Here is a 24,639-nt window from a genome sequence, read left to right as displayed (position 1 = left end):
ACGTTATGCACAAAAGAAAACACATTTAGCTATTGGTTTCAAAACAGCGAGGAATCACCGAATCTGGAAGTGGCACTTCTTATAATGTTTTCATTCACACAGCCAACACTTATTAAGTGTTATTATTCATGAGGCACTAAGTAAAGCAACTCCTGTTCTAAGGAGCTCCTAGAAGTGCTGGGAGGTGTTAGGAGGTGGGGGAGAACAGTGAATTCCTTCAGGGTGAAGGGTGCAGGGGATGGGCAACCCCAAATATCAAAGCTAGTGGGGTAAGAGCTGCATGCCCTTGGCTGGCTTCGACCGGCTTAGCCTTTCCAGATTATTTACATTTATTGTGCCTGCCTGTGCAGGCCATTGGATTTAGAATGAGCCTTCTCTCAGAGCCAGGTCCAGAGAGCCTCTGCAATGCACTAGCCTTCACAAGTGCTCAAGAGGGAACAGACAGCTTGCACAGGTGTGGTGAGACCAACGCCCACCATTGTGGATCTCAGGACTCCAATCTGCTATAGTGTAGAAGGTTCTTTCTGCAGTGGTTCCTGGGGGCTTGTCATTCACTCGTCCCCAAGGAGGCTACATGCAAATTAGCTAAACCTCACGGGTTAGTGATTGGCTCTGGGAGGGAGATTTGGCCCTGCTTTTCCCACCCATTTCACCACAGCTTTCATGGAGATGTAGATTAGGAAGCCCTCCCTGATTATAAGATCCTGATACTGGGGCCATCCCATCACTCTGACTAACTCCTATGTGGGTCCCACAGAATAAAGACAACTTGTGACTTGAGCCTTGAAGAGTGGGGAGGACTCAGCTCGGTTGATCTGGGGCAGGGCAGGAGGGGTAGATGGACTCCAGTAAGCACCAAGGAGCAGGGTCATGTTAGGGTATCTTGCAACAAATTTTAAGAAGCTGAGAATTGACACCCATAGGCGAGGGAGGAGAAGCAGTGCAAAACGAGGCTGAAGAAGAATGCAGGATTCACACATTCAGGACCTTGCATGGGAAGTAAGGGTGTGAGACTTTGTTTTGAAAGTGATGGAGAGACATGGAAGGGTTTTAAGGAAGCGACAACATTTGCTTTGTGTTTCAGAAAGAATCATCTGAAAGGAATGTGGAGATCAGAGAAAAATGATGGGAAAGTTACCACAGCCTGCAAATGAGAAATGATGAGAGCCTGCCTGGGGTAAGGCAGTTGTGTGGGACGGAAAGGAAGCACTAGATGAGGCAGATGCTTAGGTGGAGCAAGAACAGGGCAGGAGAAGCAAGTAAAGGAGGGGACTGAGGGACGAAAGGGGCCTAGAGCTCTGGAGGGCTTCTGGCTGGGTGGCTGGGTGGCTAGTGGGGCCATCATTGCAGGAAGGGGATCAGGAATAGATTTGAGTCCAGATAAGACAATTAGGTTATTTTTGAATATATCAAGCATGTAGTACTGGAGATATTCACTGTGCACAGAAGTTTGTTGTTCTGGAGAGCTGTCATCCTGGAGTCTTGGATTTGGGCAGGTGGTGGGTGTGGTCAGCTAAGGATCGAATGGGGCGGACATATGGGGAGCTGGAGCCAAGACCCAGGATTATCAATACTTAATAGACATTTTAATAAATAGCCATAAGCACATTTCTATTAAATTAATTCCTTTTTTCTTTCTTCTTCATGTTGCAATATGACCTGTTTGAGAGAATATTGAGCTGAACTCCTTGGGCATGAATTGGGATCTGTTTCTGGAGGGGTAATTGGGGGTTAGCATCTCTCGCCTTCAATGTCTCATTTTAAAAAGAAGGGATTAGACTGCTTCATCTCAAATCTTACAATGTTATAATTACAGGACTTCTTATGAAGTTGCTGGAGGTGATGAAATGAGGGAGTCTTGTGCTTTCTTCATTTTCTACTGTTGTTTTCTACCTCTGTTTTCTCAGAGGTTTTCTGATCATTGGCAGTGGATAACAGAAGGAAAGTCACTCAAGGGGCACAGGAAAATTTCCTCATATAAAGAATAATCTCGAATGCGAAACAGTGCAAAGGTGGAGAAACTCAGAGATAAGCAGCTACCTGCACATATGCCTGACTCAAATAATTTCCTTCCTGGGTTTATATTTGGACTTGGTGTGCCTACTCTTTGATACAGTGGCATACTTTAAAGCACACTTTCTCTGTGGTCTTACTAATTTTTTTTTTTTAACGTTTCTTTTCTTGGCCTGTTTGCCTCATTTTTCCATTTTAAATAGATTTTTTAAAAGAGAAGTTTTAGGTTTGCTGCAAAACTGAGCAGAAGGCACAAAGATGCACATATACCTACAAACACAACCTCCCCAGACATGCACAGCCCCCCACTGTTGACATCCCCTACCAGAGTGGTGTCTTTGTTTTTTGTTGGTTTTTGCTTTTTTTTTTTTTTTGAGACAGGGTCTCCCTTCTTGCCCAGGCTGGAGTGGACTGGTGTGATCACAGCTCACTACAGCCTTCACCTCCTGGGCTCAAGCGATCCTCCCACCTCAGCCTCCCAAGTAGCTGAGACCCCAGGCGTGTGTCACCATGCCAGGCTAATTTTTTAAATTTCTGGCTAATTAAAAAAAATTTTTTTTTAGAGATGGGGGTCTCTGTAAATTGCTCAGGCTGGTCTTGAATTCCTGGGTTCAAGTGTTCCTCCCTCCTCAGCTTCCCAAAGTCCTGGGTTACAGATGTGAGCCACCACTCCCAGCCAAGAGTGGTACATTTGTTGCAATCAATGAACCTATATTGACACATTATTATAACCCAAGGTCAATAGTTCCCACTGGGATTCGCTCCTGGTTTTTCTTGTCCATTCTGTGGGTTTGGACAAATCTGTAATGAACATATAACCACCACTACTGTATTATACAGGGGAGCTTCACTGTCTTCAAAACATTCCCTCCTCTATGTATTCATCCCTTCCTCCCCACTGTGCTCTATGCTCTTATGTTTTAATTTAAATCATATCACATGTCTGTTTGGTTGCAATTTTCATTTATCTTACAGATTTGAATGTGCATTAAAATATGCAGGGAATATTTTAATAACCTAGATATAGTAATAATTTTTATTCACATCAAAAGCTTCATGATGTAGATTATTATTATTGTTTAGCTTATAATGATAATTTTAGTAACAAGTTATAGTAGTTGGAGCTTCACTGCTATCAAAAGTTTTCTAGTTAAATTAGGCTAGCCCCCCAAGTTTTTTCAGGAGTCATCAAGGTGAAGAATATTAATAAAAACTGCTTAATCAGGTAAACAGACAAAACTGTATCAGTTTATAGAACAGGTTGTTTCTGTTTTAGCACAATAATCTCCTTTATTTTTTGTCACAGTGAATAGTTACCTGATATCTAGGGTCAAAAATCTATGACTTGAAAGCCACCACCTGCATTTGTATTAAAATCTTTTGGAAGCTGGGCGTGAGTGTGTCTGTGTGTGTTTCAGTGTGTGTGCATGCATGCTCAGTACGTTTCAGCACATGAGATGGAAATAAGAAATAAGCAAAGTGTAGTGGGCAGGAGAGGATTGCACTGAATTTTTTATTTGTTTATGTATGTATGTATTTATTTATTTATTTATTTGAGATGGAGTCTCACTCTACCACCTAGGCTGGAGTGCAGTGGAGCGATCTCGGCTCAATACAACCTCTGCCTCCCGGGTTCAAAGCATTCTCCTGTCTCAACCTCCCAAGTAGCTGGGATTACAGGTGCCTGCCACCGTGCCCAGATAATTGTATTTTTTTGTAGAGACGGGGTTTTACCATCTTGGCCAGGCTGGTCTTGAACTCTTGACCTTGTGATCCGCCCGCCCTGGCCTCCCAAAATGCTGGGATTACAGGCATGAGCTACCGCACCGGGCCCTGAATTTATTTTTTAATGATAGGAAAAAAAAAAAGGAGCCGTAGAGAGATGACAGAGCCAAATGAGGGAGAGAGAAAAATACATTAGGTAGAGCAGCAACACACAGATGCAGGAGGAATTGGGTCATTGTGGAGGAATGTTGTGGAGAGTGGCTAACGGCACCAGGGTCCCCATGGTGGAAACCACTTTTTTTCTCTAATTAGGATCTAAAGAGTGCAGAGCAGTATTGGGTGTGTGTGTTGCTGCGACTCACTGCCTTGCCTTTTCTCCCTAGCCGAGAAATAGAGGATTCTTTACTCATTACTTTATTTGGATTTTAACCAAGGCCAGGATCTGTTACTTGATATAGGAGGTTGAATTTTTCTTACCTTCCTCTAACCTGATTATGAGGGCTGCTATTGTTTTTAGTTTAAGCTAATCAGTCCAGGGTTTCTTGATTTAGGCATCTCACTAGAAAAATCTTTCTGAACCTTTCCCAGGTGGGAGAGAAGTTTCCTGGATTAAATACCAGATTATAAAATAAACTGGTCTTAACAACAAAACTTTTTTGGAGCCCAGAGTGCGTAGGTTATATGAAACCAAGTAGGAATGAAGCATAAACATTGAACTACAATCCTGCCACATTTCACATAACTTATTTTAAGGAATATTCATATTTCTCATAGTAATCAAATTAAATTTTATGAGTGTCTTTGAAAAATTGTACAATGCACCTTTCTGCTTTACCTGATTTAGGAAAAAAAAAACCCATTCCAGGAAAGAATGTAATTGAATAATTAGGATGTATTGCTCTGGTGCTAGTGGCATGATCGCTTTTGAGGGATGAAGGGTAAGAAAATTGTTTAATAATATATGTGTCCGTTAACTTGATATTATTCTTCAGTAGACTCTTACCAATAGTGCTGTCTTTTTTCTTTTTCTTTCTTTCTATTTTTTTAATCTCTGATACCTGCTAGAGTGCCTGACATGTAATAGACACAAATATCCTTTTCTGGATGAATGAATGACAGGGACAGAAAAGCTTTTGTATTTGAACTGGAGAAGAACATCATAGCAATGATGAAGGTAACAGTGGCCAGACACAGTGGCTCACACCTGTAATCTCATCACTTTGGAAGGCCAAGGTGGGTGGATCACTTGAGGCCAGGAGTTTGAGACCAGCCTGGCCAACACGGCGAAACCCCATCTCTACTAAAAACGCACACAAAAATTAGCTGCGCATGTGCCTGTAATCCCAGCTACTCAGGAGGCTGAGGCATGAGAATCCTTTGAAGCCGGGAGGTGGAGGCTGCAGTGAGTTGAGATTGCACCACTGCACTCCAGCCTGAGCAAAAAAAAAAAAAGAGATAATAGTGATAAAGGTAAGAGTTAATATTTATTGAGGGCTTACTATGGCCCTGGCACTCTTTGAAGTATTTCATATGTGTTGACTCATTTAATCCTGACAATAATTAGGCACATTATAGATGAGGAACCAACGAAGAGATACAACTGCTAAGCAATTTACACAAGGTCTCACAGCTAGAAAGTGCTGGAATCAGGACTTGCACCCTAAAAGTCTAGCTCCAAAGACCATGCTCATTCACCACCAAGCTAAACAACCAGCTCAGGCCCTGCCCCATTTGTTTTAGGTGTTGTGATGAAAGCAAACACTACTCTCGGGTGAGCTATGGTCATGCCTGCAGTGGACTTGGGCTATAAAGATGGCGTGAACATTGACACATGCAAGGTGGTATAGGAAGAACTTCAGGTAGATGGTGGAAAGGAGACTCTGGCTGTAAGCAGGGAGCTCGTGGGCCTGCATGACTTGCACACAGCAGATCCTGCCCTGTAGTCCAGCTTCACTGACCTGGGACGTTTCCAAGAGCCCTGTGAGGACCTAGAGGGTCAACAGGGGCCATATCCATTTTAATGGTCTTATGCCCATGTAACCTTTGCACCATTTCTTTGCTCGTTGGAAGCAAGCTGAAGTAAAAATAATTTTCAGCTGAATTTTAATGATCATTCTCCCCAGTCTTCCAGCTTGGAGTAGGCGTGGTGACTGTTCATCATTTTTCTCATTTGTAAGATAGAGGTGATAATAATCCCTGCCTTGCAGGGTTGTTGTTTAAATTATAGGACCTACTACATGTAAACCTTTTAGAAAAGTGCTTGGCACATAGCAAGTACTAAAAAAAAAATAGCTCATTGTATAAAACTTTGTATTCATGAAACTTCAGTTTAACTGTGTTACTAGCAGTTGGATAATTCCAGTTCAACTGAAGGAAAGCAGGGAGCCGTTGATCTGAAAACTCACATTATCAGTTTACCCTGCCCTAAGTTGGGTAAAATGGAAGGATTTAAAAAGGGAAGCACCCTATTTTAGAGACAGAGAAATTGAGGCAGAGTGAGATCAATGGACTCGTTGAGCATCATGCAACTAATCAAGCAAGATAAAGAATTCTTAGGCAGTTATACTAATTGGGGTGAGCTTGTGGTGTGTGAGTGTTTATTGCTTTAGTACTAATGGTAATGAGCTGGTGAATTCCAGGAAGGTTGACCTGTATCAGGGTCTCAAATGGCCAATGGCCCAAATTCTCATCACGAGTTTTACCTATAGTTTGTAGTAAAATAAAGCCCTATTTTCCTTGTGGAAATCACCGGCAAATGATCCCTAATAAAAAGCTTTCCCATCTGATACACAGGGAGAAATGATTAACGTGACCCGTCCCATCTCAGTCTCTGGAGTAGGTATTTTTATTGACTGAGCTTCTTTTAGAGAAGAAGAGAATGCTATTTTACCAGAGAAAAGTGCACGTTTTAAAGGGGGAGCATCTGCTAGTTGGTTCCCATGTGGGGAAGGGGTAAGAGCCTTGGAGTCTGTTGAGTCCCAAGAGATCAGAGAGGCCACCTGATCCAATTCTCACACTTGACTGGTAAACTTGTGCAAGGTCGCACAGCTAGTAGGTAGAGGAGCGGATGCAGCCCCGGCCTATTTTGATTCCAACTTCCATTGGCTGCACCCTTCCTGCTGGTGTCTAACATTGTTTCCGTGTAAAGACTGATTGGGGATATTGTCAAAATGACCATGGTACTGGGGTCTGAGAAGCATCCCGATAGCTGTATGGGATTCAGGACTCTATTTTTCACTTCTTATGTTGGAATTTAACACACACACACACACACACACACACACACACACACACACATATATATTTTAAAATACAGGGTCTCAGTAAGTTTCCCAGGCTGGTCTTGAACTCTTGAACTCTTGGCTGAAGCAATCCTCCCACCTCAGCTTCCTGATTAGCTGGGATTGCAGGTGCTTTAATTGACCAAGTGTATGAATTATTTTACTTCAGAAAGTAAGAATAGTTTTTTTGAAACCTCCCCTCACTGTTTTTTGAATAGTGGTTATACTTTTTATGAGAGCAAATTGTGTTTTGGACCTTTGGAAATAGCACTTGTGCTTCTTATTTGTATGGTTCCGAACTGGGCAGCCTTTGGCATCTGTGCCGTAAGCTTTGAGTGGGAAGGCTAGTGTCCCGCAAGCGAGAGCCAAATTGGCCTGTGCTTCCTGGGAAGTGACAGGATTTTAGACTGTTGATTAGTCTGTTGGAGACAATGGTAAGATGACAAAAGAGTGAGGAGAAGACAAAGCCACCTTTAGGAAGAATGCTTTGGATTCGTTGGGAATTTTACCCCAGAGGTAGGAGAGAACTGAATCCCCAAAGTTGAAACATGGACGGCAACTTTGATTGATGGTCTGAAAAGAATATTTTCGGTATCTCATTGGTATGTTATATCTGATTGGAAGAGTCAGAGTGGCATGTGGGAGCCATGAGGGACCTGATGAACTTAGGAGGGCGGGATGAGACAGAAAGCAGGGACAGAATTACAGCAGTTGGGGGGGAGAAGCGAAGCAGCGCCCCCTGCTGGCGGGAGAATGGTACCGAGGACAGTAACACCACCAACCATAGATGCACGGTCTGGGCTGGGAAGAAATTGTCACTAAGGAAAGCATTTGAGCTACCTAAGATAGGCTCAGTAACAGGCAGATGACTTGGAGTCTCAGTGTCCTTACTGGATAGAACAAAAGAATACAGGTCTCTAATGCTTCCCAAAGCTGCTGTGACCCGCTGAGGCGGACGTTATCCCTGGGAAACCTGGTGAGCCGGGGATGGGAGGCACCTTTCTCTGAACGGAAGCTGCACCTCCCTCTCACTTTGTCCTGCTCTCCCTCAGAGAGCTGTACATGAATTCTTTTTTTTTTTTTTTTTTTTGGAACTTGTTGATCAAAATTTAATGTGTAGCCCTAATGAGAAGCTTCAGATTTTAAAAGAGAACTTTTAGACATGTAACAAGTCCCTAAATAAATGGAATGAACGGAGATTGTAGGACGACGTAAAATAGGATTGACATTTTAGGTCAGAATGCCACCTTCAAAAGATTGCTCTTCTTTCTTGGTTGAGCTTTGACATCATTCAGTCACTTATTTTTGGGATAGAGCCTTTCCTACTCACCTCTGTTAACACATCTTACTGTCTCTATCTTACCTCGTTCAGAGTCTCCAGCCTTTCACCTTCCTCATTAGGCTCGTAGATACCTAATATGTACTGAGCAGGGAACGAGTCCAGTTTCCATCATGAATCCTTTTGGGGCCTCCTGACATTATATTATGTTTTAACCAATATGTGTTTATGAGCTTTGTTTTCCTCTTCAACATTAGAGATAATTGGCCAGTAGTCTTCATATTGTAATTTATATTTATGCAAATTGAAGAAATTTAGGGCCAGAGAGAACATAAATACTCCATGATTAAACTTTATGTTAAAATGTTATTTATTGATTGCTATAGTTAATAACTTTTAATAATAGTACACAACTTATAATTTTCTCATTACAATACATTTAGAAAACCTAATACATTCTACAACATGAAAAACACTTTGCTGAAAAGAACTTATAAAAAAGGATACTAAAATAAATTTTAAAAAGAACTTTTCCTTGCTGAATTGTGCTTAAAACTACCAGTTATTTGACAGACAAACACCTTTTTAATCCTTTCTTCTTTAGAAGTAAGTTAAAATAGAAAGCTTTTTTAGGGTTTACAAATATATTTTTTACCCATCCTGAGTTCCAATTTATTCTCTTCCACCTCTTGTACTTTAAGATGCTGTTCTGAATTTCGAGATCATCCTTATGAGCGCACATTTAGAATGTTTCCATGAATTATTATGCTGCAAGTCCAGAAGTCAGGATGAGATAACTGGATGTATCATTTTGACCTGACCTAATTTAGATGGCTCACTCTCACACATGAGCCACTTTTTAATAAGTTTTGGTTGGTAACTTCAACCATAAAAAATCATTTTTACATTATTCCTGTTGACAAGAAAAAAATCTGACAAAATTAATAAGATCTCTTTACCCATTACAGATTCCACTCAATTCTTTTGGGAATGGGAAAACTTGTAAAACTGTCTTATAAGCATAAATCCTCCTCAGTTTCATTATATGATTTTTTAAACTGTAGATTTAAATCGCAATTTGAGTCCATTGATATTAATGATAACTCATAAAAATAGAGATAAAGAGAATTAGTTTCATTAAGAGAAGTACAATAAGATGAAGAAATACAATTGTAAATTATTGATAAATCTGTAACATGCTACGAATGAGTAGTTTCCCATATTTCACTTTGATATTATATTATGTGCTTTTCTTTCAAATGTCATCCTCTTTTTAACATAACCTCTCCAAAATAAAGGATAATGAACCTATAAGACTTTCTCAGTCATTCGAAGGATATTCTTTCTTTTCAGACTTAGTATAAATTTAGTGCAGCCAAAAATTGTTGAAGAAAATTCGCCATTGGTTCGGTCAAATTTGTATGCATGGTGTTATATATGAAAAAAGTTTCATAGAATTAGAAACTTCTGTGAAAAAAAAGTGAGGGGGAAATCAATCACACATTTGCATTGTGGAAACAAACTGAAGTTTTAAATCTCAGATGTTCCTTACATACTTATTAAATAGAAGACTAGGATTGCTAGTTCATTTGGTGTATCTATGAATGTTTTCAGATCTTGCAGGAAAAAAGTGTTGGAGTCTTTCAGTTATTTATTTCTTATATATTTATTCTCAACCAGTCGCTTTTCTGATGGCTGAAATATACAGTAAATAAATAGATAAATATAGAAATATACAGTAAAATAATCCTTGAAATAAACAGTAAATAAATAAATATAGTAAGTAAATAATTTCATTTATTTACTGTATTAGAGATATACAGTAGAAATAATAGTATATAAGAAAATATACAGTAAATAAATAGATAATACAGAAATATAGAAAATACAGTAAATAGATAATACAGAAATATATGAAATATGGTAAATAAATAGATAATACAGAAATATATACAGTAAATAAATAGGTAAATTATCACTGTCCACATAGATTGTACACAATAGTACTGAGGTGAGACAAATCATTAAAAGAAAAATATATATGTGCATGTATTTGTACATGTGAGTGTATTATATGAATATGTATTGATAAATAAGAATATAGTTTATTAAGTATTATGAGCATAAAAAAAGAGAACATGGAAGTGGGAAGTATTATGGGGTGTTATAGGGCCTGGGAAAGCTTTGCTGAAAAGATAATATTTGAACAGACTTGAAGATTTGAGAGAGTGAGCACTATATCATTGAAGAGAGTATTCTATGCATGGGGAACTGAAACAAAAGGGCCCTGGGGAGGGATGGCTCTAGAACAGCCATCAGCTAGAGAGACCACAGCAGCAAGAGGAAGCACACAGTATTAATAAAGAGAGAGTGGACTGACCTGCTAAGGAAATGGAAGGTCATTTTAAGGACCTTGCCTTTTTCTCTGTGTGAGATGAAAAGTTATTGGAAGAGCATAAGAAGCAAGTGCTCTGAATTGTTTTAATAAGATCTTCCTAGCTCTGTGTGGGGAATATATTGGCAGGGTTGGAGCAAGAGAGAAAAAAGGAGAAATCCCTTATATGATGATGGCTTTGGTAGGTAGTAGCAACACAAATTGTGAGAAGAGGTTGGATTGTGGATATTGTATTTTCAAGGTAGAAACAATAGAACAAGCTGATAGATTGGAGAGGATTGTGAGAGTGAGGAATAAGGGACTGTTCTGAATTGATTGGCCTTCAGTCAATTGAAGGGAGGGACTTCAATAGACTGAAATGGAGGCGCCCCTAGAATGCAGGTTTTGGAGACAGGACCAGTAGTTTGTCTTTGGAGATGCTAATTTTAAGACGTGTATTAGTCAACCAAGTGGAGATGTTGAATAAGGCAATAAATATAGAATTCTAAAGTTTAGGAGACACCCAGATTGAGATATAAATTTGAGAATCAGAAGCCTGTAGATGATGTTTAAAACATGAGATAACTTGAGATCGTTAAAAAAATTGTTATCAATAAGAAGACCCAGGATGGAGTCCTGGGGAACTTCAATATTAAGAGGTTGATAATAGAATCAGCAAAGAAGATGGAGCAAGTAGTTTGTGAGATAGGAAGAAAGGCCGGTATTTACCTATTGCCTGTACCACCATTGTGTCCTGGAAGTAAATAGATTGTTTTTGATTTTACAGGCTCATAGTTGGAAGGAACGTGCCTTGAATCTTAGATGAGAATTTGGACTTTGGACTTTTAAGTGACCTTGGAATGAGTTAAAACTCCTGAGTACTATTGGGAAGAGATGATTTTATTTTGCAATATGAGAAGAACATGACATTTGGAGGGCCAGAGGCAGAATGATGTGGTTTGGTTGTTTTGTTTCTTCTAAATCTCATATTGAAATGTGACCTCCAATGTTGGAGGTAGGCCTAGTGGGAGGTATTGGATCATGGTGACAGATCCCTTGTGAATGGCTTAGTGTCATCTCCTTGGTGATGAGTGAATTATTGCTTAGTTAGTTCATGCAAGATCTGGTTACTTAAACAGTCTGGGACCTTTCCCTTCTCTCTCTTGCTCCCTCCCACCATGTGATACACTGGCTCTCCCTTTGCCTTTTGCCGTGATTGTAAACTTCCTGAGGACCTCACCAGAAGCAGATGTCAGCCCCATGCTTCCTGTACAGCCTGTAGAACTGTGAGCCAAAATAAACCTCTTTTCTTTATAAATTAACTAGTGTCAGGTATATATAGCAAACAGACTAACACAGTGGGTGAATGTGATATCTATTGCTGGACTCTCTCTTCTATAGAATTGATATATATGTCTATCATTTTTCCAATACCATATTGCTTTTGATGACTTCTTGAAACAGTAAGTCCTCAGCTAAGGTCATCAATAGGTTGTTGGAAACAACAACTTTAAGTGAAACAATATGTATTATAATAAAACTAATTTTTTCCCACATCAACATTAAAACAAAACAATGTAGAATGAAACAATCTTACTTGAGGACCTCCTGTACATCATCTCACTTAAAGTCTCAGTTTTCAAGAACCCATTGATGGTGTTAAGTGAGGTCTTACTGTACTTCATTTTAAAAACAATTAGTGTGACTCCTCCAACTTTGTTTTCTTTTTCAAAACTGTTTAGCTCTTTCAGCTCTTTTGCCTTTTCGTAGACATTTTACAATTAGCTTTTAAGTTTCTTAAAAAATTTTACTCAGATTTGGATTAGAATTGTATTTTATCTCTAGATACGTTAGGGAGAATTGACATCTTAATTATATTGAGTCTACCACTCCATTAACATGGTATTTCTCACTGTTTATTCAGACCTGTTTTGATATCTTTTATCAGTGTTTTGTAGTTTTGATAATATAGCTATTATGCCTATTTTTATATACTTATACCTAATTATTTCTTTTTTTGAAGCTATTATAATAGTTTTATTTTTCAACATCAAATTATTTGTTGCTACATATTATATTTTTTCTTAGCAAGTAGACAATATTGTCTGTGAATAAAGATTATTTTATTTCACCCTTTCCAATTTGTATGTCTTTTATTTATCTTTCTTTTCTTACTATATTGGCTAGGGCCTTTACTCTTATGTTGAACAGAAATGGTTGGAGCAGATATTCTTGTCTTATTCTTGATTTTGGTGGTAGGGGGATGAGGAGAGGAATATTCAGACTTACATCAGTAAGTGTTACGTTAACTACAGTGTTTTCAAAGATGTTCTTATCAGGTCAAAGCTGTTCCCTTGTATTTGTAGTTTGTTGAGAGATTTTATTGTGAATGGGTGTTGTATTTTTTCAAAAGCTTTTACTGCATCTGCTTAAGTCATCATAGAGTTTTCTTTTTTTTATTCTGTTGACATAATGTACCACATTAATAGATTTTTGAATGTGGAACCAACCTTGAATCCTGGGAAAAAACAATCTGGTCATGATATATTAGCCTTCTTGTACACTTTTGGATTAGATTTGTTAATTGGTTGAGATATTTGCACTTATTTTCATGAGGGATGATCTGCAGATTTCCTCCCTTCCTTCCTTCCCTCCCTCCCTCCCTCTTTTCTTTTCTTTTCTTTTCTCTTTTCTTTTCTTCTCCCTCCCTCCTTCTGTCCCTCCCTCTCTCTTTTCTTTTTTCTTTTCTTTCCTTTTTTCTTTTCTTTTTTCTTTTCTTTTCTTTCTTTCTTTCTTTCTTTTTTCTTTCTTTCTTTCTTTCTTTCTTTCTTTCTTTCTTTCTTCTTTTCTTCTTTCTTTCTCTTTTTCTTTCCTCTTTTCTTTTCTTTTCTTTCTTGCTTAGTAGAATTCACTGGTAAAGCCATCTTGGTTTTCTTTGTGGGAAAGATTTAAACCATAAATTAAATTTCTTTAACAAACATAGGAATAAGTAATGTGTTTCTTTTTTGAGCTTTGGTAGTTTATATCTTTCAGTGAATTAGTCCACATAATTTAATTTATCAAATTTATTGGCATAAAGTTATTAGTAAAGTGTCCTTATTATCCTTTCAATATCTGTTTTATCAACAGTGTTATTTACTTTTCTGCTTCCAATATTGATAATCTCTTTTTCATAACACTTGTGCTAGAGGTCTATCAATTCTGTTGATATCAAAGAATTCTAAAAATCAGCTTCTGTTTGCTTTGAGATTCTTCATGATCTTCTGTCATCTATTTAAGTGATTTCTGATTTATTTTTATTTATTATTTCCTTTCTTCTCTTTGCTTTAGATTTAATTTGTTCTTCTTTTTCCAGTTTCTTAGGATGGAAGCTTAGATCATTAATTTGAAAACTTATGTTTTTTTTTTCTAATATGATCATTTCTTCCTAAGGACTGTCTTAGTTTCATTCATTATATCTTCATATGTTGTGATTTCACTTCAAATCCTTTAAAAACATTTCACATTTTCCTTGCCATTTTTTTCTTTGACTCATGAATTAGTTGAAAATATGATGTTTCCAAACATTTGGGGATTTTTGAGATATTATTCTCTTATTGAGTTCTAGCTTCTTCTATTGTGTTCAGTGAATATATTTTGTGTGACTTAAAAATTTTGTAGAATCATGTTTTATGACTCACAATATGGTTAACATTGATACATGTGCACTTGCAAATAATGTATATCCTGCTGTTGATTGGTAGATTGTTAGGTAAAATGGGATGATAATATTGTTCAGAATTTCTATGTTTTTACTGATTTTTAAATTTCTATTCATTCTATCATGTACTGAGAGAGGAGTATTAAAATTTCCATTTATATTTGTGGATTTGTGTATTTCTACTTTCAGTTCTCTCACTTTTTGTCTTATGTGTTTTTAAGCTCCTTCACTAGGTGAATGCACATTTAGAATTTTAATTTTTCTTGATGAATTCTAATGCTGTGATCTTTTTCAATCCCTGAGAATATTTCTTGTTCTGAAGTCTACTGTATCTAATACTAATTAAGTTACTTAAGATTTTTGTTGATTAGTATTTATATGCTGTATATTTTTCCACCCTTTGGCTTTTAACCAATCCATATCTTTCAATTTGAGGAGGAGTTCTTGTACTCCAGTCTGTTAACCTCCGCCTTAATTTTAGAATTTAGACCACTTACACTTAATGCAATTATTGATGTGGTTAGATTTAAATTAATAATCTACAATTACTGTTCTATTTTTCCTACCTCATCTTTCTTTTCTTTTTCTTTTTTCTTGCAGTCTGAATTAATTGAGGAATTTCTATAATTCCAATTTAGCTCTACTATTGGCTTATTAGTTATCCTTCCTTTTTATTTTATTTAATGGTTGCTCTAGGGGTTTGATATATGTCTTCAACATACAACAGTCTACCTTCAAATAATATTATACTATGTCACAGTTAGCGTAGAAAACAGTACAGCTGTATATTTCCATTTTCTTCTTCCCATCCTTTGAACTAACTATAAATGTCATATAGTTTACTTCTGCAAATGTTGTTAACCCTAAAGTGCACTCATTTTTTTTGCTTTCAATTGCCAACTATAACAAAGGTCAGAAAATAAAAAAAAATATCTTCTATGTTCATTCTCACTTTTATTATTGTGACACTCTTCATGTTTTTGTGTAGATTCAAATTTCTACCTCGCGTTATGCCTCTGCTTGAAGAAATTCCTTTAAAGTTTCTTTCATCGCAGGTTTAAGCTTTTGTTGGTCTGTAAGTCTTTTTGTAAACCTTCAGTTTTTGAAAAATATTTTGCTGGGTATAGAACTCTAGGCTAAATTTTTTTCTTTCATTCCTTTCAGCTATCATTTTTTGTTTGTTTGTTTTCTATCTTGTATAATTTCTGTAGAAAAGTATCTTCTACTTTACAAATTCTACTTGTAAACTCTTATTACTTCTGGTGTCTGTAGGTAGATTGGCAGGGGCAGGGGGATTTGTCCCTTTGCATCTTAGACAAATTAATATTATAATCAGATTTCACCAGAGGCCTCAAACTTCCATCCAGAGAAAATAATAAGATCAGAACACTCTAGGAGCATACACTTAGTGCTCCCTGATGTTTTGAGCTATGTTTTGTGGATATATGTGCATCATCTTCCTCCAAGAGATGGCGTGAACAATTCTGGCTATTGTTTGTGCAATTAAAGATAACCATGTTCAAGTAAATACCTGGAGGCAGGATAGGTATTATCTGGATATTGCTTAACATTTTCTTTGGCAGGACAAAAAGGGACTGAGAAAACTTTTGGTTATTTCTTTCTCTCACTGCCCTGGAATTTCCACCCCGTGGCTTTTGAAAAGAATCAAAGTCATGTGTTTTACGGACAAAGGACTTTGGCAGTACCAAGTTTGGTGGTAACTACAACAACTGTAAACAGCCAAACAGCTCAATTCTCTTAACATGCAAATATGCTAAAAATTTTTTTTTTTTTAAAAAGAGTCAACAGTTTCAAAGCATCAACAAATATTTGAATGGTAATAATCTTTGCATCATGACTGAGTCTCACCATGGCTTATTCTTATGGGATTAAATCATGAGTAATGCAGAAGATCACTCTGTGGAGCTGACCTCCAAATCCCAACCCTGTTGTCTCTTTCCACCTCTTATGATCTGTCATCTCTTTGCCTCTGGGCAGCTTAATTCAGTCTCTTGCCAGTCTCCTTGATCTACTCTTGGAGTTCACAGCTTATGCTCACACTTCATTTCCTTTCAGGGTGGAAAACTCTGAAACCCTTTCTTCTTGAAGTCCTTACTACTCTAGAATATGCTATGCATATATCACTCATGCATGGCATCTTCCTCTCTAATTTCGTTTTTATTTGAGGCTTCTACCCAGTACCCATATTGAATGAAAGATCACATTATATAATTGATTTCTAGATTTATTGATAACCAATGCTCATAATTAAGTCTTTGTCTGGGATAGAGAGTAGCAAAAAGCCACAAAATGATTGTCACTGCTAAAGTGGACTAAAACCTTGTTTGTGGGCACCTCAGCTATTACCTTCTACACATTATAGTTGACTTCTTTCTCTGTGCTCTGCTTGGCTCCCATATGTCCCTGTAGACTGATCAAATGTTTTTATATGCGTGGTACAACTCACCTCATCCTCTCAATCAGTCTTTGAACCTAGATTTGAATCTACTGATTTATATTGGCCCAGCCTGGCTCCCTTTAGGCAATGCACCAAGACCTCTCCTAGAAGTTATGCACTCAGAGGCATGTCTACCAGGATTTTGAAGGTGGACACACAATTTCTTTCAGATTTATGGGTCATAAATCTTTAGTCATATTAATTTCAAAAAGTCTTCAGATTCATAAAGATTTGGGTAAAATTCTGGATCTATCAATTGCCAGCTGTGTGACCTGGGGCAAGTTCCTAACATTCTCTAGGCCTCAATTCTGTCTTCTGTAAATGTTTTTTTTTTTTTTTTGAGACAGAGTCTCACTCTGTCACCCAGGCTGGAGTGCAGTGGCACAATCTCCACTCACTGCAAGCTCTGCTTCCCGGGTTCACACCATTCTCCTGCCTCAGCCTCCTGAGTAGATGGGACTACAGGAGCCCACCACCACACACGGCTAATTTTTTTTTTTTTTTGTATTTTTAGTAGAGATGGGGTTTCACCGTGTTAGCCAGGATGGTCTTGATCTCCTGACCTTGTGATCCATCAGCCTTGGCCTCCCAAAGTGTTGGGATTACAGATGTGAGCCACCGTGCACAGCCTGTGAATGTTTTATGCTCAAAACGTGTTAGTAATTATTTAATATTTTGTTTTTAAAAAATGATGTTATGATGATATTATAATAATGGACATTAATCATGTAAATATTATAATAAGCAAGGTGTGGTAGACATTAGCACTGTTCATTAATATTTGGTTCTCCTCTCATTCTGGTTGCACTGGAGGATTAAAGCTCCCTGCCCCTTGAAGTTAAGCATGGCCATGCGACTTACTTTTGGTTAATGAAATATTTAAGAGCTGGTACGTGACTCCCATTATTCTCCCATCTCTTTCTCTCCCTGCCAAGGTCATTGCAGAATCAATTGTTGATGAGGCTGAGCCAACACATGGAGTACTGCTGTTTTGAAAAGATTAAGCCATTTAGATTTTGGTATCATTTATTGCCAATACGTAATTTTCTTACTGTGAATGATTCACAAAGTCAATGAAGGAAAAAGTGGTTAACGTGGTGATTGTTTCTTGGATAAGCTTGTCTGCAAGAAAAGTTAGAGTCTTAGCCATGGTTAAGAGAAACTATCTCTAGGGGTGGCAGGGAGTAGTTTAAATGTAATATTCTAAGGCCTGTGGTGAACTCATGTTTTGGCTGAGCTGGCTGTTATAGCAGAAAGTAGCAGAGATAGAGAGGTAAGTTAGAGCCACTGTCCCAGTTTTGGGGAGAATGCCATGTAGTCACTGGAGTATAAAGAGGTCCAATTTCCAGGAGGGGCAAATTGTCAAAATGCAACCACCTATAGAAAGGGATTCAATGAAGAAGTACAGCTATGGAAGGTGAACCAAAATTCATATCATAAAAATGAGATGGAAACCCTGGTATTGAACCTGGTAAATATGGTATTGTTGGAGCCAAGGGCTGTAGTTTAATAGAATGGAAATGCTGAACTGTACAATCCTTTAGAATAAAATACTAAAAGTGTTGCATTGTGTTCTAAAAACTCTAGACTCAAACTATTAGACAAATGCAACCCAAATTGCCTGAGCAAGTAGTCATAAAATTAGCTTAATTTAGTATGACTTTCACTTCTGAAATTTCATTAGATCTTGGTAAAATTTTAGTAATTACAAATGCTGTACTATAGTAATTAGACATGAAATAGTATAGCTTGAAAACGAGAGATTGGGCCCTGCAAGAAATGATCATGTCACAAAAATTATTAGTTTTATATTACAGCTACATCAAAAGCTTGAAGAAAAAGAATCCTTAGGGATTTTTATTTGTCTCTCAGGAAGAATAAATTGATGGAGCAAATCATGCCTTTTAAAGATTAAGCTGTGGCAAGAACATTATTAACAAAGGTTTAGCCACCTTATGTGAGAATGCCAGTCTCATTCAAATTTTTCAGAAATTGCTCCAGGACTTGCTACCATGATATATATTTTTTTCCTTTCTGCTCTGGTTCTCTTTGGTCAAATATGAAAACTATTATTCTAAAGTTTAATAATTTTCTTTTTTTTTTTTTTTACTGCTGTTGCTGCCCATTAATATAATTGCTGAGGTTGCCAGGGACCAATGTTGATGGTACCACTGCCTGTAGAAGGTGCACAGAAGAGAAAAAACCCAAATAACATAGCTTAAATAAGGTAGACATTTATTTCTCTTCCTCAAAAAGGCAGTTTAAGGCTGGTACAGTGGCTTTGTGGCCAGTAGGGATCCAGGTTTCCTCCAGGGTTAAGCTCTGTCATTCTAGTTGTTGATTTCCATTTTCAAGACTATTTCCTTTGTTGGAAGCCACTAGCTGGAGGAAATATAAAAGGGCAAACATAACTTTCTTTTTTTCTTTTTGAGACAGAATTTCACTCTTGTTGCCCAGGCTGGAGTGTAATGGTGCAATCTCTGCTAACTGCAACCTCCACCTCCTGGGTTCAAGCGATTCTCCTGGCTCAGCCTCCCAAGTAGCTGGAATTACAGGCGCCCACCACAATGCTAGGGTAATTTTTTGTATTTTTAGTAGAGACGGGATTTCACCGTGCTGGCCAGGCTGGTCTTGAACTCATGACCTCAGGTGATCCATCTGCCTCGGCCAGGGCAAACATAACTTTCTACCATTCCATCCACTTCCATTAAAGAGGTTTCCTAGAAGCTCCATACAGCATTTCTACTCACACTTCATTGGCTTAGCCTTAACCAAGCCTAGCTGCAAGTGGAGCTGAGAAACTCAGAGCTTAATTCCAGGGAGCAGATGGGAGTCTCTGCTACTCTGCTCCTAATGAAGATAGAAAATAGGTATCAAAATGCAACTAGCTATCTTGTCATAACCACTAAAGCCACTGTCAAAAGTACTACTGAAGATTTGATTTCAGTGTCTCATTGGGTTTTTTCTAAATCAAAAGAACATTTTTAATTAAAAATATACGTATTCATTGTATAGTACAAGGAACGTACGGTGACATAAAAAGAACATTAAGTTTTTTCTATAATTGCACCATCTAGAAGTAACCACTAAGATATTTTGGTATATATCTTTTTGGTTTTTCATATATACTTATGTATCTACACACCTATATATCTATCTACATAAACTACTATCTGTATGTGTTGCATATTGTACATAGTACAAATACACATACATATAAAACATATAGTTAATTTTAACCATACTCTAATATTTTTTATTCATATTTTCACTTATCAACATTTCCTTATATCATTAATTTTTTTGGAAACTGTATTTAAAAATTTTTATTGCTATATAATATGCCATCATATCAAAGGTTTTATATATATATGTATTCAAATATTCTATAAATATGCTATACCTGAGTTTTCAATTTTATTCCTTACATGATAATGAACATTGTGTCTTTATATATTTAGATCCCTTTGGATTAATTTCTTAGTATAAATTGTTAGAAACAACTGTTTTGTCAAAGATTTAATATTTTGAAAATTTAATATTATGTTTATATTCAGATAATTTTACAATTGAGAGTGCTTAGTGTGAACCCAGAAAATCTGAGACAGGTCTCAGTTAATTTAGGAAGTTTGTTTTGCCAAGGTTGAGGACATGCAACTGTGATACAGCCTCAGGAGGTCCTGACAACATGTGCCCAAGGTGGTCAGAGCACAGTTCGGTTTTATACATTTTAGGAAGACATGAGATATCAGTCAATATATGCAAAGTGAACACTGGTTCGGTCTGGAAAGGCGGGACAACTAGAAACAAAGGTGGGAAGGCTTGAAGCAAGCTGGTAGTGAGCTTCTAGGTCACAGGCAGATAAGAGACAAATGGCTGCATTCTTCTGAGTTTCTGATTAGCCTCTCCAAAGGAGCTAATCAGATATGCATAGATCTCAGTGAGCAGAGGGGTGACTTTGAATAGAATGGGAGGCAGGTTGGCCCTAAGCAGTTCCCAGCTTGACTTTGCCCTTCAGCTTAGTGATTTGGGGGCCCCAAGATATATTTTTCTTTCACATTAGTAAAACTAAATCTAAATCAAAATTTATATTAGGCAATGCCTTCTGAAACTACAGGTGTTTATTCAGGCATTTTTTAAGGCTACCTTTGAGGATTGGTGTTTATACATTCACTTTAAAAACAACACCACCACCACACACGAACACACACACACACCCCGAAAAAAAAAACAATGAAACGCAGCAGACACAGCATCTCTACCTTTTATAAAATGTGAGTGAGGCATGAATGCTGTTTCTTCATGTTTCTTTTTGTTGTAAGCGTTGAACAGGACTTTTTTTTTTCTTGCATGTACAAGGAGATACTGAGCATTTTCATGTATGTGGGGCAGGAGTGTGGAGAGTTTTTGGAGGAGGATTAAAATACATCCATGGATCTTTGATCCTACTGGCCTTACAGGAATGATTGATTACTAGTAATGCAACAGAAAGCACGGGACGTAAGCGTATGACTGCTTAGGGAAAAAAGACTCACTTACTGGGCATTGTTCTTAGCATGTGGGAAGACACAATTTTTCTGTCTTGAATTCAGGCCTATAAGTGTCATTAGCCTCATGCTGATTGAGTGGGAAATGTCAGAGACCAGAATGTTTCCTTTATAACAGATTCATTTTTAAGACACTTTAAAGCAAGACTAAACTTAGAAAAGTTGGATATTTCAAGGTAGGCCTCTTATAATGGTCTTTGATATATCTTAAACATCTTCTTAATTAATAGTTTGGAGAAAGCTAATTAATTACCCAGGAGTCCTCAGAATAGCTTAATTGTTCACAGAAAAACTGAAGCTGTTTTCAGTACAGTAAAATCGTTCTAAAAAGAGAATGCCAGACATTTATATTTGAATATCAAGGGTTTGAAAAAATTTTAATGATGTGGTTGTCAATATGGACAAGGGAAGCAAAGAATCTGCTCAATAATTATAATTAGAGATCTGTATTTAGGAAGAAATCTTAAAAGTTTGCCTAGTATTCTCTTTGCTTGATTTCATCCCAAACGATCAATTTAACAAATCTCATTCTTGAGATGTTGAACTCATTTTCATGACTTGGAGTAGAGAGGCTTGACTCCAGGAATTATCTCTTGATTTTTTTTTCAAACTTTGGGATACTTAGTTTATGGTAAAACTTCTAGTTAGACCATTTGCATTTAAAGACAAAATGCATCTTCTTTTTCTTAAGACATACTGAGATAGAACAAATGCTGTCTACTGAGTATACATTCTGGATCAAATCCTTCATGTATGTTGCCACTAATTTTCACAACAAGTCTGCAAGGGAGAAATTATTAATTCTTTATAAATGAGAAAACTGAATTTCAGAGAAGGTGGTACTTAATTTGCTTCAGGTTTCATAGTTACGAAGAGTCAGAGGTGGGACTGAAACCTAGGTCACATGGGGGTCAAGCCACCAGGATGGCTCCCTGAGGAAGATATTGGTTCTGGGATGGAGCAGATAAAAAATGAAAGGTGAAGCTCACTGAATGACTTTGTGAAAATAGATAGGAAGATAAAAAATAATACTTTAAAACACGACCTTTGTTAAGTTTTTTTTCTTATTTAAAATCAAAAAACCCAGGAGAGAAGGGGAAATTTCAAAATTAAATATTAGTCAATGCAAACTATTCTCTTCTAAAAAGATACTTAAAATCTTAAATTTCTGGAAATTGTATAGTCTTGAGCATTTATGCTGATTCGATTTATCTGTAAAATAGAGGGAAAGATGTTTTGAGTTGACTAATAAAATAAGTGGTTTCTTTTCTTCTGAGGGCCTCATTATACTGCAAGGCTTAGAGCAGTGTCAGCAGCAGAAGCATCAATTTAACACTCACTAAGGCTCCAAATGTATTGAATGCTAAGTAGGTGAAGAACTTACACAATTTAGGAAGCACTACTTTGAGGAAGATGGGAGCATAAACAGCATCATCTTTTCATGTTAGGGCTTTTTATTCATTTGTCATGTTCAAATGCTCATTGTATAACTGTAAGGTAAGATAATGTTTAAAGAGCCTGATGTGTTTAGCTCATGAGAGGCAACATACCTCAGTGCTTATGGTCTCCTCAGCAAGATTTCCTGGGTGCAAATCCTGAATCAGCCATTTACCAGCGGTTGTACCGAACCCCTCTTAACCTCATTAGGGAAGGCACCAGGTTCAAGAGGTGGAAGAAGAGACCCAGAACCAGAAAGCAAGACATGGCTTATACTAAGGGATTATATACAGGGGAGAGAGTCCATGGTGGTGGGCTGGACAGCATACCCCACTTCCTGCAGTTCAGTGGCAGTGGGCTGGGCAGGAAAACCACAACTGCTTGTAAACAGCATGCAGTTGATACAGCATTTTCATTCAACACCCGCCCTAACACCCTCCACCTGGCAACCTTCATTTAACCCAAAACTCAGGGCCTCAATCCCCTGTACAGCTTGTATTCCACAGGATGATGGTGGGGCAGTGGGCAGCGGGTGAGTGGGTGGGGGGGCAGTGAATGGGGTGCCAGATGTTTCTCATAGATAACAAATGTATCTCTGAGTTGGCCACTTCTGGATTCCCTAGCTCAGAGCACATAGTCAGGTGCATGTGCCATACACGGTCATTCTAAGGGTTTGCTTGTTATTGCTATAAGGTGTATTTACTCTACACTAGCTGTGTTTTCTTTATGAATAGTTTAACCCCTCTGGTTCTCAGTTTGCTCATCTCCAAAATAGAGATAATAACAGAAGCTCTCTCACAGGGCTGTTATGAGAATTACACGGTGTAAGAGCAAGCTGTAACGTATTTAGAATGTTTTATAATATATAGTAAGTGCTATGTGAGTGTTTGATGCTTGTTTTAGGAAACAACTTATAAAAATGGATACTTGGGTAAATAATAACTCTATCCACAACACATAATTTTGAAAATGCAATTTCACAATTTCTTCAATGTTTTTAGCACCAAAGAGATGCCATGATACATTTCTGTTGTGGTGTCCTGTGTTAAACAGAAGCTAACTCATTCTAATGAAACTTTGGAAAGATTCGAAGTCTCTAAGTTTGTTTGAAGTGGGTTTTCCTTAAATCAGGGAAGAGGTTGGGTAAGATTGACACTTTCAGTTCTAGAATATCAAGAGCAAAGAATATTTCCTGAACAATTTCAGAGAAAAACAACAAGAAGGTTGGAACTGCATCTGATTTCTCAACATGTATATCTTGCACCAGAGGACAGCAAGGCCATAGTTTAAAAAATCTGAAGGAAGATTATTTTAACCTAGAATTCTATGCCCAGCCAATCTTACAATCAAGTGCACAATAGGTTAGCAACATTTCCAGATGGTCAAAGGCTCAGAAAGTTACCTACCATACTTCCTAAGTCCTAAGTCTTACGTAAGAAATTACTTAAAGATGAACTAGAGTGAAATGAGGAGCAAAGCAAGCCAGAACAACAGATGGCAATGAGGAAACAGTTGATCCTGCTCAGGAGAGGAATGAAGCAAGTTCCTGTGATGACAGCTGGGCAGTCAGCCTGAGAGCCATTGGTTCAGGCTTGAGCAAGGAGAGAGAGGACCAGAAAGGAGGAAAACTGAGAGAGTTTCAAGAAATTTGGTAATGTTCTTGAGGGAGTAGTTATGTTAAGGCAGACTACATAAGGAAAAAGAAATGGCAGTTAGTAAAAACAGGAAAAACATATTGAGTCCTCAATTGGACCAAGGGCAACACTGGATCATTGTTTCTGTCTCTTCTCTCTTGATTATGTTATCAGCTTCTATGTGATTCATT

At 37.6% G+C, this 24,639-nt stretch overlaps 1 long non-coding RNA gene across 1 annotated transcript in view; it reads left to right on the top strand.

The window, feature by feature from the left end:
- Window positions 1-24,639, top strand: part of LOC105371956 (uncharacterized) — a 92,178-nt gene that overhangs the window by 13,557 nt on the left and 53,982 nt on the right. The window contains exon 2 of the long non-coding RNA XR_935087.3: window positions 1,085-1,177. This is a non-coding gene — a long non-coding RNA (uncharacterized LOC105371956). The remainder of the gene's footprint in view (window positions 1-1,084; window positions 1,178-24,639) is intronic.

The sequence above is a fragment of the Homo sapiens genome, chromosome 18 (assembly GCF_000001405.40).
Source record: "Homo sapiens chromosome 18, GRCh38.p14 Primary Assembly".
Classification (NCBI taxonomy): Eukaryota; Metazoa; Chordata; class Mammalia; order Primates; family Hominidae; genus Homo; species Homo sapiens.
The sequence above is the reverse complement of the archived record's forward strand: the minus strand, read 5'-3'. Positions and strand labels throughout refer to the sequence as shown.